The 14,250-nt window shown below is 42.0% G+C and overlaps 1 protein-coding gene and 1 long non-coding RNA gene across 6 annotated transcripts in view, besides 1 other annotated feature; one reads left to right on the top strand and one right to left on the bottom strand.

Annotated features, from left to right (window-relative positions):
- ADAMTS16 (ADAM metallopeptidase with thrombospondin type 1 motif 16) overlaps positions 1–14,250 on the bottom strand; it is a 179,975-nt gene that overhangs the window by 23,956 nt on the left and 141,769 nt on the right. The gene's annotated exons all lie outside the window — the stretch shown is intronic.
- The window catches only part of LOC101929200 (uncharacterized), a 163,580-nt gene that overhangs the window by 125,781 nt on the left and 23,549 nt on the right, over positions 1–14,250 (top strand). Inside the window, exon 5 of one of the 2 annotated variants that reach the window (XR_001742583.3) lies at positions 2,675–3,782. This is a non-coding gene — a long non-coding RNA (uncharacterized LOC101929200). Of the gene's footprint in view, positions 1–2,674; positions 7,769–14,250 lie in introns of those variants that run through there. The other variant, XR_007059119.1, reaches the window with a different exon arrangement.
- Positions 3,019–3,313: an enhancer, noted in NCBI's record as "tiled region #1512; K562 Activating non-DNase unmatched - State 13:Ctcf". NCBI's record gives its function as "activates a minimal TATA promoter and a strong SV40 promoter by Sharpr-MPRA in K562 cells {active_cell/tissue: K562}" and the evidence as "EXISTENCE:reporter gene assay evidence [ECO:0000049][PMID:27701403]".

Raw genomic sequence — 14,250 nt, 5'->3', positions numbered from 1 at the left:
ATGCTTTAATTCCCTGTCACTAGCATCTCAGCAAAGCCCATCTGAGCTCCTCTGTGGAGCAGGCTGTCTGGTCCTGCACAGCCCTCCTGATTTTGAAGACTGTGTCTGCAGCAGGCTGCTGGCTCAGAGCCTGTGACTTAGCCTCTGTGAGTGCAAAGTCATGGAAGCTTGAGTTCCTTCTCAAAGAGGGACCCACCCAGAACCAAAGGGGTTTCGGAGCTGGGATGGACCACAGACGCTTCCTTACATACTGACTCTTCCAACATTGAAATACAGATATCTGAAAAGTAAAGGTAATGGTCTCCAATATTAACGTTCTTGCAAGCCTCCTAAACAACTCAGCTTAAGAACTGAGGAGATAATCCTAGCCAAGGATGTCCTACCCTTAGGGCAAGATCTTAAACTTACATTGTATTTGGACATAGAAGGTTGTAATGGATGTACTGATAACTGTTCAGGTTACAAACATTCTTCTGCTACCCTGACATGGAAGCACACAAGTGGTTTTCCACTGGGTATATAACTTCCTGTGCGAGACCCTTCGGCTTTCTACTCTCTGGAGGGCAGAGCACTAGAGTATTCTCTGGATCTATTTCTGTCCTAGTGGCTCTCTACCTGTCTGCTCCGTTCATCTCTGGACACTAGATGTGCTGCCTGGATGGGCTCCTCCCTGCCCACTGGTTTACTTCCAGCCTTGTTAGAAACTCTTCTTTAGTCATTCTGAGCTGACACATGAGACTCACTGTGCCTCTTCATCCCTTGGCAAAACACATTGGCAGCCGCCCACACCATGCTGAGCACCCGTGGGTGAGGTGCCAGCCTTGCCCAGGGATGTCAGCATCCTTCTGCTGCCACTCCAGGGCTCACAGGGAATGGGCTGAATCTGTCCTCCAATCTGTTTATGGCAGCTGAATTTGTTATTGGAGTTATGTAATATAATTTGGTGTAGCTCTATGAAACATGAGCATTAGAAAAGAAGAGCTGTTTCTATGAAAACGAAGTTAAATCTTTGGAATAACTCAGTGGAGACCAGTCATTAAACAGCACTGCTGTCAAATTAGGTGTGGCTGAGACAAAAGTAAAATATTGAGGAAACATACAAATTTTAAAACAACTTCCCACTCAGATAAATGGGACAAGTTTCATCCTTCTTTAAAGAAACTCAAACTGGAAATTATATGCAATGAGCATGTTTTATGAAATAATCCACTTAGATCCTTCCATAGGCAGACCCTACTCAAAAAAATGCTTGGGCCATAATTAAAAGAATTAGCAAATGAATGCGCATTTGTGTCTTTTAAGTGAAAATAAATGTTTCAGGTATGTGTGTGCATTTTTTTTAAATAATTTTTCCCTCTATCTACTTTTTTCATCAGAGTAAGAGGTCTTCTCTTCTGTCTGGTATTGACACCTGCATCCTCTCTGCACTCCACAGCTGTATAAACCATTGCTTATAGACATCTCTGTCTGGTGGGTAATGGGCATTCAGACCCAGTGGTCCCCATCTTTGCACCCTCTTCCTTTCCTGTCACCTGCCCTTCCTGTCATCCTAGAAGTGGGATGCCCCTGGCTTCATCCTCCAGCCTTTTCCTGATCCCACCAAATCACACAGACTCGGCTTTCCAATTTTCCAGCAAAGCTACTCCCTCCTGTGTATCATTCATGTTGGCTGAGTCCAGGTTAACTTGATGTGTCAACATGTCTAGACTGCAGTAGACAAATATTTAGCTGAGCATTATTCTAGACATTTCTGTGAAAGCATATTTAGGTGAGATAAACATTCAAATCTGTAGACTTTGAGTAAAGTTGATGACCCCTGTAATGGGGGTGGAACTCATCCAGTCTGTTGAAGGCCTCAATAGAGGGAGGTATCCCCCAAAAAAGTCTGGGCTTCAGACTTGAACTGCAAAACTGCAACTCCTTCCTGGGCTTCTGGTCCACTGATCTGTCCTGCAGATTTTGGACTTGCCAGTCCCCACAATCACATAAGCCAATTCCTTAAAATAAATCTTCCTTTGTCTCTTGTCAGCTAAAGAAAAGGCAGGCTTTTAAAGAATTAGTTTTATTTCGAAGTCTTATAGATGATTGCAACCAGGAGAGCCTTTACCTCACACAGGCACATCCGCATATAATTGGTTCTGGTTCTTTGCAGAACTCCAATACAAGATCCCTGTCATTTTTCACAGGGATTGCTCCTTAATTGTCCCCTAGCTTCTAAGTCTGAGTTGATAAAAGCTAATCTCCACTCTGCTGCCAAGAAGAAGTATTTCCAGCGCGAACATGAACACACAACATTACTATAATATATGAAACACTCCATGGCTCCCCATTTCCCAGGGCACGGGGCTCACACACATGGACCTGTGGCCTCCATCCCCCACCTGTCTGAATGTCCACAAGCCCCAGTGTGCCAGAGGTTCTGGGAGTTCAAAGCTCCCAGGAAAGGGCCCCTCAGCTGTTAGAGTAAAGATGGGCTGTGTTGGCAAGATACCACAGGATGGCAAATCTCTGGTGTTGCTTCCTTTACGTCCAGACCTAACGGTTCATTTGGTCACACCAAGTACCTAACTAACATGTCTACTGGTTGCTTTTTTACCAAACGCTCAATTTGGCAGTCTTGCCCTATATGTGGCCCCTGCCTCAGCAATATAGTAAACTCTTTTTCCTTTTAAAGGAAAGGAACGCAAGCTCACTGCAAGCACACTGGAAAGGCATGGACAAGGACGGAAACACAGTTGCTCCCGATCTCAGGACAGAGAAGCCCCCTCTCATAGCATCCAAGCTCCAGGACAGACCTGCCCGCCTCAGCTCCTGAAACCCGGCCTGGGGTGCTCTCCAGCCAGCTCTTTTCTGACAGTGCTGAAAGGAGACATCATGATGCAGGGATGGCAAGAATGAAATCACATCTTTTAAGGGAATGAGAGAGACTGGTTTGCGGATCAAGAGGAAACAGCATGAAAGAGCTCTGAGGGCTTCATCCTGGGTAGGAAGCCACTTTGCCCACTGAATATTTTCTTCTCACACAAAGGACTTGCATGAGGGAACCGAGAAAGGAAACTGGGAACACACAGCCACAAGAGGCAGTGACTCCTAACTGTCCTCAGGTTCAATGCCACACCCATCGAACTAAGAATGTGCCAGCGCCATCATCAGAAAAATGTTAGGAATTACATCTCATAAACTAAAAAAGAGCTAGAAAACCGTGACACCATCAGAGCATCTTCCTGACACCTGCACCCAGGCCAGGAAATGGCCTGCCAAGGTGCCCTCCATCTCTGTGTCCTCCACTGGGTCCCCTAGACTCACAGGGTCACTGTGGCTTCCATTCCCATGAGATGCACTGCCTGTGCCTTGCCCTCCATCCACAGCATTCACTATGTTGAAGGGAATGAGGGAATGCCTGTTATCCCTGTCACAGACACCACGTGGGGCCCATGGGCCAGGCACCACAAGCCTGTGCACCCTGCCATACCCGATCAAGGGCCTCCCTGGACATTAACAATGGCTATGAAGAGGGATGACAAACAAATGTGTCCCAAGAAGGGGTGAACGTTAAGATAGGCTGTGCAGGAAGTCAACAGTGAAAGGTTATGGTGACAGCAGGGCAAGGAGGCCTTCAGTGTGGCAGGAATGAGGGCTGTTAGGACAGGGCCCGTGAAGACACTGGAGGAGGCAGTGGCAGGTCCTGGAGGGTCACGGAGGCCACACGACGGCATTTGGGCACCAAGCAAATGACAATGGAGAGCCATGGAAGGCTGGACTTGGAGAAGTGTCTATACTGGGTTTGTATTTTATTTTATATTTATTTTTTATTTTTAAAATTATTATTATTATTATTATTATTATTATTTGAGCTGGAGTCCCACTCTGTCACACAGGCTGGAGTGCAATGGCACAATCTCAGTTCACTGCAACCTCTGCCTCCCAGGGTTCAAGCCATTCTCCTGCCTCAGCCTCCCAAGTAGCTGGGATTACAGGCGTGCACCTCCATGCCCGGCTAATTTTTTGTATTTTTAGTAGAGATGGAATTTCTTCATGTTGGCCAGGCTGGTCTCAAACTCCTGACGTCAGGTGATCCACACCATTCAGCCTCTTAAAGGGCTGGGATTACAGGCGTGAGCCACTGCGTCTGGCCCAGGTTTGTGTTTTAGAAAGATCACTGCGACTGCAGAATGAATAAGACACTAGAGGAAGCTAGACTGTAGGTAGAAATTTCTACTCAAGTCTCCTGAGGCTGCAAGAGTGAGAGGCTGGTGGCTTGACTATGACCAGAGCCTCATTTCCATTAGAGAGGGCCATTCTGTCTGTCCACAGAATTTATGCTTTATAATTTGACATTTCATCAATGCCTCTGTGAAACTCACAGGACTGAGCACATGCAAAATACTAAACATTTGTTGACCAGTTGACAATGAACGTCACCCTCCTCAATTCACATATACAGAGCTATGTTATTTCCTAAATATAGTAACATCACTAGAAGTTTCCTTTTGGGCTCACCATAATGTACCTGTGTTTCAGCAGATTTGCTTTTGCCTGTGGATGTAGAAATCCATAAAGTTATAGCCAGGCACCAACAGGGCAACACAAATCAAAGTTCTTTGTGAAGTCTTGCCCTGGTCCATGACCCTGGCTGGCTGACTGCCCGAGGACAGCCTTTCTGTGTCTAAGGCCTTGTGGTGTGGGGGTGGGGGGGTGGGGAAGCCGTGGCTCTGCGGTCAGGATGCCTGGGTTCCAACCTCAGCTCCAACCTTGCCAGCTGGACGGCCTTCAGGAAATCACGGGACACCAATGTCTCCATTCTCTCCTCCGCAAAGGGGAGATGGTCACAGTAGCTTTTCTATGCAGTGCTGGGCAGGCTGGGAGGACTAGCAGACAGGAAGTGCTCGGGAAGGGCTGGCTGTGGTTATCATGATTTCATTCCTTTGTCTCTTCCTCATCCTGTCCCCTGCCTCTTCTCCTCCTCAACCCTCACCTGGGAAAGGGAGCTCATTCACATGTGGTCCACAGGATTCCAGACATTCAGTCCCTCAGCCTGTGTACAAGAGGGAAAGCCATGTTTTCCTATAGCAGTATTATTTTATACTTATTATATACATCCCTTCTGAAAATCAACAAAGACCTGACTGGTAAATACGAATTAAAAAAAAAATCACAGAGACACAGACATTAATTTTGTTGTATTGCCTCTCAGTGATTTTCCGGCATTGGTAAAAATGATGTCATGATATGGTCATCACATGGAACTATGTGATTTTGGAATATTTACTCTTATGAGAACTATTGAGAAATTTTAGAATTTCTAAAATTAGAAGAATGGGGAGGTTGAAAGAATGCAGAAAACAATGCTCCCAAGTGGTGGTAACTGTACTGGATGGATTTATTTATACCTAACGAAAAGAAAGTGAACGCCATCTCAGTGACGCCCGAAGAGCCCGCACAGGTGTTCTCCACCTCGTCTGGGGAGAGAATGAAAGCAAATGGTCACAGCGGGAAGAACAGGCCTTTCAGGTCCTACACAGTGAAAGTTTACAAGGGGAAAGAAAAGACTGCCAGTGCCTCTTACAAATCCTTCATTTCAAACAGAAAAATGATATTAAAAACTTGATTAACTCCCAAGAGAAGCTGCTGAAGCCCACTGCAGCATGGAAACAAGAATTTTAGCGCCTCTATTTTGTGCAACACCTTTTTTTTCTTTGAGATGGAGTTTCGCTCTCGTTGCCTAGGCTGGAGTACAAAGGCTCGGTCTCAGCTCACTGCAACCTCTGCCTCCCTGGTTCAAGTTCCCATCTCAGCCTCCTGAGTAGCTGGGATTACAGGTATGCACCACCACGTCCAGCTAATTTTTGTATTTTTAGTAGAGACAGGGTTTTACCATGTTGGTCAGGCTAGCCTCAAACTCCTGACCTCAGGTGATCCACCCATCTCGGCCTCCCAAAGTGCTGGGATTACACGCATGAGCCACCACGCCCGGCCTAGGCAACACCTTATTAACATTCCCAGGGGAGAAGTGGCCCTTCTGCCACAAAGTTCATGGACTGTGATCGTGAGACCACTGACTTCGTTTAGACATTTTAACAGCTGACTAGGAAATGTCTTCCTCATACAGTTTCGGTGAAAGCCAGCTGCAAGAACACAAGCTTGTGGGTTACACAGATTTGATGATTTCAGATCTGACTTGCTTCTTTACCTCAGGAGATTTTGCTATCCTGAAGACAAGCCATTTTCTTGAGAAAGGAAATATGTTTCCTAAATCGCTGAGAAGATAAATGTACTAAACAATACATCATCTAAGTCAATGAAAGATACTTGCATGCTAATAATGAGATGACCGTAGACTGAAACTAGGTTTAGGTTTTCTGAACTGCTTGGAAATTCTTGGCTGCCATGCCATTAACACTGCTATTTTGCCCTGATTGAAAGGTGATGTAGAGACAGCACTTTTGATTAAGACACTCATTTTGCTGGAGGATGCTTTCATCTAGCCCAAAAGTTGGCAAGTATCTTATTAAAGGGCCAGATAGTAAATATTTCAGGCCGGTGGAGATCTCTGCTGTGAGGACTCATCCCTGCTGCATCAGTGAGAAAACCACTGGAAACCCCATGTACATGAATAGGCCTGACTGTTCTGATGAAACCTTATTTACACAATCAGGTATGGCAGGCTGCACTTGGCTCACAGGCCATAGGTTGCCACCTGCTGATTTAACCAATTCTACTTATAAATAATCGAACTGGACATATCTGTAAAAACCAGAAAGCAACTAGTGTTTTTACAGCACCCAAGACACCTTACAAGATAGACCTGTTGGAGTTTGATACCTATGTTGAGCCTAGCTATCATGGATTACTAGGAGATTAGGACAAATGACCCCATTGTTGGGAATGTTAACAATGAAACAACAGCAATAACAACAAACAACAACAAGCCCACATATTAAAGCCTGAAGTTCTAACAAAATATTTGCAAATCTTAAAGGGGTGAAATGAAGCTTATGCAGACGGCTTCAAATATTGCAGTAAGTAAGAAAGCAAACCAGTCGCACCTTACATGTAGTGTATGAATTTGGTTATTAACAGCCACGCAGAATCAGTGCCCCTGGAGGACAAACCAAATGCTAGGCAGGGCACTAAGCTTTTTTTTCTATTATCTGTTGAGTGGTTTAATTTTCCCTGCAAACCAATGATGTGGACAGATGCTATTATTTCCTAAAAGTGAAGTGCAGAAAGGTGACATAAGTGGTGTGAGATGGAATTTACACCCAGGAAGCCCAGCTCCAGGGCCTGGACTCTCATGACCAGTTCTGGTTCCTTTTAAAGCACACATACACACCAAGTAACCCATTCACATGCATTAGCCCACTTAACAACCCTATGGGGCACTGCTGTTAGAATTTCATTTCATGAACGAGGAAGCTGAGGCTAGAGACACCGAGGACCCTGTCTGCAGCCACAGAGGTCGTTGATGGTCAGCATCATACAGCTGGAGTGGCAGGATCAGGAAGGGAGCCCAGTGAGCCTGGGTTCTTATCCACCATGCTGCATTGCTCCCAGATAAATACAATTTCTACAAGGCTGGCTTGTCAGCTGGAGAAAAATCTGACGTGAGTTTGTAATTTAATGTTCCTTAGCTCTAAAATGACCTAGAAAAAATGTATACATTTAGTAATTTTGTGGGCTTGAATATTTTAACTGGACAACGGCAATTTATGTGATGCCTATCTATTTTATACCCAGATAAGTAAAGAATTCATTACTCCTGGTAAAAGTTGTGTATTTCTACTTTCTGGCTGATTATCTACTCGGAGAAGTTTTCCGAAAATTCCTGAATGATTCAGTATTGAATCAGTGTCAAGTTATTCAGAGCCTCAGTCGTTCCAAACAGGTTTCCCTTAGTCATTATGCACATACAGATTATCTATAACATCTGAAATATCTTTTCCTGCCTCTCACCGGAGCCTTTTACGTGGCATTCTAGGGAAAGCCTACGTGTCTAACATGAATTTAAACATTTCATGAGTAACATAGGTTCATTTTTCTTTCTTTTGAAATGAATGACCTTCCCACGGGAGATGGTTTAATTCATTTCTCAAGGTGTGAAATGCAATTTAAATCACGGAGGATTCACTAGCAACTGTGTATGGGCTTCCGTTCTTCGGCTCTTCGTTTTCTTGGGAACACTGTCAGTTTCCCATTCTATTACAGACGTGAACCCTCCCCGCTGTGACGACTCCTTCCTTTTATGACAAGGATTTTAAAATGATGGCCTCCTTCCTCCTCTAGTTTCGGGCTTTTCTGGCATTTTCGCGTCAGGGTTTCTTGGATGTTCACTCTGAGACTAATACTTAGAAATGATCTTCTCCAGGCTCTTGAGCCGTTTTTCTGAGATTTTTTTCCAGGTGTCCTCCTGCAGCGAACCTGGATGCTTTGAGGCTGACCTGCAGCCGCACAGTTCCTAAGGCTCCTGAGCTCCACCAGTGCGTGGGCTGTGAGGGTCTGGGCCGAGCAGGACTGGCCAGTTAGGACCATCCACAAAGGTTTTATGTAAAGTCTTCAGTGACGGGGTCACCAGGAATCACCATAAATCTAATGGGTTTTAAGAAAGAAACCAAAGAAGCAGATTGAATCCATATTTTACACAAATCAAATCCGCAAGCAAGCTGACACCGTCCGTGAAATCAACATCAATATCCCGCCCGGAGCCTCAGGGACATTCTTTACTCTCAGGCAGTAAGAATATCTTGGTCACATCATTGGATCCAAGAACTCTCTACGTCGCTTTCTTAGTGGTTACCTTGCTCATGCTAAACAAAACTGGGAGTCGAATTTCCTTGCTTTTAAAGAAATTGGTGAAAGCAGTCAATGGCAACTGAATGATGAGGCATATGAGGTATAAGCCTCTGTAGATGGGTCTAGGCAAAGAATTGAAAAGTGAAGAGTTGAAATGACAGCAGACTCAGGAATACTGTCATTTCCACATAGGATTTGAATTTTTACAATGATTTGTAAGAATCTGTAAGTTTTATCTTTTAAGCTTTCAAATAGCTACCACGATGAGACTCAGGTGTGAAGGCATCACACGCTGCAGACAGTTTTTCTGGCCAATAGATGCTGCTGGGCCAGGGGTCTGCCAAGAGTATATGGCTAACATTTGACATTGGAGTCATCTTTCTTGATAAGTCTGGAACAATTCCATTCTCTGCAGGAAGGACTTCACACTGTGGCACTTTGAGAAGATTAATCAGCTCCAGGAAATGAATATATTGAGTAGGTAGAACAATATTTATGTAACCTCCTGGCTCCTGTTCCTTGAAACTACCTTTCTGATGCCTTCATTCTTCTTCAAGATACCTTCAGATTGTTATTTCTGATTTTCTTACTAAGTCTTAGGTACTCATTGGTTGAATCTTTTTCCCATCAAGTAGGTTCTATATGTTAGCACATACTAAAGGGTTATAAAAACTCTTTTTTTTTTTTTTTTTTTTTTTTTTGAGACGGAGTCTTGCTCCATCGCCCAGGCTGGAGTGCAGTGGCACTATCTCGGCTCACTGCAAACTCCACCTCCTGGGTTTGCATCATTCTCCTGCCTCAGCCTCCCAAGTAGCTGGGACTACAGGTGCTCGCCACCGCACCTGGGTAATTTTTTGTATTTTTAGTAGAGACGGGGTTTCACCGTGTTAGCCAGGATGGTCTCCATCTCCTGATCTTGTGATCTGCCCACCTCAGCCTCCCAAAGTGCTGGGATTACAGGCGTGAGCCACCTCACCTGGCTAAAAACTCTTTAAAATATTTAAATAATATTGTTAGATATTTAGTCAGCTAAATAATTAGTTAAACAACAATTACTGTTTCATTCTTTGGAATCAACTTCCAACTTCCAAATGTAAAGCTTTAGCCATTACATCACAAAACTTATCAAATGAATCATGTTGAAAATGTCATATTTATCTATTGCTCTTAAAAACATTGGTCCAGAAAACTAAGGGAATATGAGGAGGAATATACTGTACTGTATAATGAAATTAGCTGTATTATCATTGGCATAATTTATTGGTCTATGCTGCAAAAAGGCCTAATCATTCTGTGGTATTTATGTATATAAATACAGACATCAGAAAATACTCTATTTTAGATTTCAGTGGTTTCACATATGCTCAGTATTGTTACAATGAGTTGGGGGTAGAGAAAGGCTGTATTTAAAGACCTCATTCTCTAGTTCATCCCATTTAAATGGGAAAGCAGCCAACCCATGTAGCATTTATAATGATTCATTCCGAAGGGTCATATGTAGAACAGAGGAGCAGCATCTGGGTAGTTTAGGCAGTGTTGTGATGTCTTCCTTGAGATGCCACTATGATGCAAAGTCTACATACGCACAAGTCGCAACAGAGAATTGCATTAGCATTCACAAACTCAGGAAAGCACTGGGGAAATTCAATTATTTGAAGTAAAGAAAAGGTTCTACTGAAGAAGAAGAAGAAGTGAAGGCATCTGAAATGCTGATATTACTGGAGAGTTGAATGCAGATATCTAATATATGGTTTGTTGTGTATTATGAGTTAAAAGGCATTAAGTGGCCTTGAACAGACATTGAAAAATCTCATTGTCTTAAAGAAATCAACATCTATTGCAAGTCTCTGAACCATCTACAGTCAGATGATCCCTGCTGATTAATCCAATGTCCAAATCCCTCTAGTTTACAGAGTTCCTATAATACTAATAGCTAGTATTTAATGAGGTGCTTTACCTGCATGAAATTTTTAATTCTCACAACAAATCTGTGTGGTAGCTTTGATTATTGTGCACATTTCAGAGATTAATAAACAGGTGCAGAAATACTAACAAATGTGCCCAAGGCTTGCAGGAGCACGTCGTGGAGCCAGGATCCCAGCACAGACAGGCAGTCGGGGCTGCACCCGAGTTTGGAACATTGTGAGACCCACCATTCAGAGGTAGACTAAAGGCGCATCCCAGATGTGGGCACAGTGGCCACTGGGAGAGTGTGGCCACTGCCAGTGCTGAAGAAACCTTTCACAAGCATCCTTCACTGCAGGTGGAAAGGCAGCATGGTTTTCAGAGAGAAATAACGCTTCTGTTGGTCAACACACCAGATTCTGAGTTAATGTCTTTGGTATCTATAAGGCCATACAATTATTTGATGGGTGTGGACCACTCTTTGATAGCTTTATTTTTTTTAAAAAAACACATCTCTCTGAAACTTCTTTTTTATCTTAAACATCATGGTGGTCATTTTGGGAGAGATGGTGCAAGTGAGGTAGTACAGATTCCTTTTCCCCAAATCAAGTAAAGGCTGACAAACTGTGAACATCTCAAAAGAACCAAAACAAAAGCACTATTCTTGTTACAAGCCATTGGTATTGGTTCCATAAAGCACTCAGAATAAGTGCGCCAGAGGAACAAGGCCTGCAGCAGGGAGATCAGCTCCATTTTTGGTCTATAAATGACTTGTATGGAAATTCCCTGGTCAGAATGAGTTGGGAAAAAAGAAACCTCACATGGAACCTACAGAAAAATTACAAACCCCTCCCTACAAAAACACATATGTGAAAAGGGTATATGGCATTAAAATTTTAAAAATATTCTGGAAGAAGACCGACTTAAGCAAATCAATTTCACAAAACATGATTACACTGTCAGGTAACATAAGAGAGTGAGAATTCAATGAAGACACCAAGTGGAGAAAACAAGACAGAATTCTATTAACGAGCTGGCATGGAGCAACAGAGAAGCAGCAAGCAGCCAGGAAATCCAGGAGCAATCATCCTTCTGAACAACACTCCTGAGATGCTCACTCTCTGAGCAGGGAGATTATACCATCAAACTTGAGAATCAGAAAGCTATGGCACAGAAGGACTGGCAAGGCCACTGGATCCACTTACATAGACAATTCAACCTGAACAACTGTGGTGAAGATTGTAAAACAGAATTTACATGCATTACTATTGAAAGGTTAGAGGTACACAATATAAAATATTAAAGTGAAACTGAAATAAGGAAACTGCAAGCAATTATAACAAAGGTTGGAGCTTGAACTGAAATGAGAGGACTAGAAAATGAAAGAGGTAGAAATGTGCCAATAGCTTTATTTTGCCTGTGAAGGTCTTTATGGCTTTAGTTTAATTTGTAACATTAATCAATCAAGAAAGAGTGGCATAAGCAATGATTTTAAATTGTAGAGGCAACTATAGTAGTATTAGAAATATATGGTGTGTTTTCTAAATAACCAAAGGGTACAAAAAAGAAGACAGTCATATAGCAAAAGCTATAAAAGAAAAGTAAACATTAAAAAAGTTAAATAATTCAAATAAGAAGTAAACTTAGATTAAACAATATAAGACATCTTTTGAAAGGTAACACACAAATAATATCATAGACCAATCTTATGAAATGTATAAAAAATTATAAAGAAAATACTATTAAAGCCACCAGACCAGTAAAGAATACATAAAGATCAACTGGGGCTCATTACAGGAGTGCAAGGATGGTTTAATTACTCACACACCCCAAGCTTCATTCACCTAAGGTTATAGATTGAGGTGCACTTTTCTTCACAAATATAAAGTCATGACTGCTCACTTCTTTTGAGTGATGGAAATGTGCATGGGTTCAAGTGTTCTTCACTGATGGAGCTAACACAGTGTCATGTACATAAAGACACAGAGCATCAGTCAACACTCAGCATCCTCTGTGACTCTGTGATCCTGGGGTCTCGTGAGTTTACACCTTTTGCCTATTGAGCCCAGGATCCTGTGTGACTGGACAAGGCCAATCTTCTTGATAAAAGAAAAAGTCACCAAGGATTGGTAGACACAGAGCTTGAGGTGACAGAGTCCTGTGGGCTTTCTGGGGGGGAGGTGGGGGGAGGGGCATGGGTCTCTTCCTTGTGTTGTGTACAGATTGTCACAAACTTTAAAAAACACATTTGTCAACTTCTTTTCTTACAATTTCTCCAAGGCCACTATAGAATAGTTATGTAGGAGAAAAGCCATGAGCAAAAATTTAGTCATGCTGAGAAGATGGAAATAAGTGAATGTTTCCATAATCAGATAAAAAATTACAATGTAATATGTGATACATATCAAATAAGAGCCAGCACTTAATTGTGAAAATGCAGAAACATTCTAACTGAGATCAGGGACAGGAAAAAATACATTGTAGTATTGTTCTAGAAATATATGTCATTGCCTTTAAACTAAGGGCAGGGGTAAATAAGAGATATACACACTAGAGAGGGAAGCCAAAATTATCAGTATTGACTTATGATATTAAAATATATGATTATTGTTTGAAAAAATGTAAAAATATAAAATTTTAGGATCTGATTACACAATGAATGTTTTACTCTATAAAAATAATACTAAATAAAATATAAAATTTTATTTCCGATATTAATAAAAATTATTAAACATTATTAAGGAAAAAATAACTACACTTATATTCCCCTACATAAATAAATCTATAAACTGTTCTTGAAAAAAACAGTGACTAAAGTAAAAATTTTTTAAAATGGTTTCTGATAGGTAGCTTCCAAGTTTTTGAGTTTTCAACTTTGCCTAAATTTATCTAATAATACAATGTAATCCCAACCAAAATTTCAGAAAGATTATTTTTTATTTTTAAACTTGACAACAAGAATATATATTTCTTCTGGGAAAAACATTCAGGAAGAGCCCTAAACCTTCTAAGAAAGACAAGTGTTGAGAGGTGGGCTTTCCCTGTTGGGGAGTAAGCTTTAGGAACCACTGCAGGGATGAAACAGTGGGGAGGAGAAGCCAGCGCCACAGGGAAGGGCGGGGAAGGACAGTCAGGCTTTGTGAACCGCATGTGGATTTAAGTGAGGAGAGGGCTGGCCTTCCAACTCAATGCAGAGAAAATGAATTTTTCAATAAATGTTGTTGGTACAGATTGGTAGGCATTGGAAGAATAACTGGGAACCTTACACTTCATTCCTTATGTCAAAATAAATCTCATTTTGGTCAAAATCAAATTCAAAGTAATCAAAATGTTTGAAGAGAATATGAGTAAATATTTCATAATATTAGAGTATTAAAAACTTTCTAAATGTGTCATGTAAACAAGAATCTATTAAGGGAAACTCCATTACAGAACACAAATATAATGTGTAACAGCCACAAATCAATGTGTCTGGCAAGATGCTACAATGAACGGCCATGATCACTACCCAGAGCGTGACAGTTATGCATCAAGGACCAAACAGTTTATCTCCCA

This window comes from Homo sapiens, chromosome 5 (genome assembly GCF_000001405.40).
Source record: "Homo sapiens chromosome 5, GRCh38.p14 Primary Assembly".
NCBI classification, from domain to species: Eukaryota; Metazoa; Chordata; class Mammalia; order Primates; family Hominidae; genus Homo; species Homo sapiens.
This window is presented reverse-complemented; position numbering and strand designations above follow the sequence as displayed.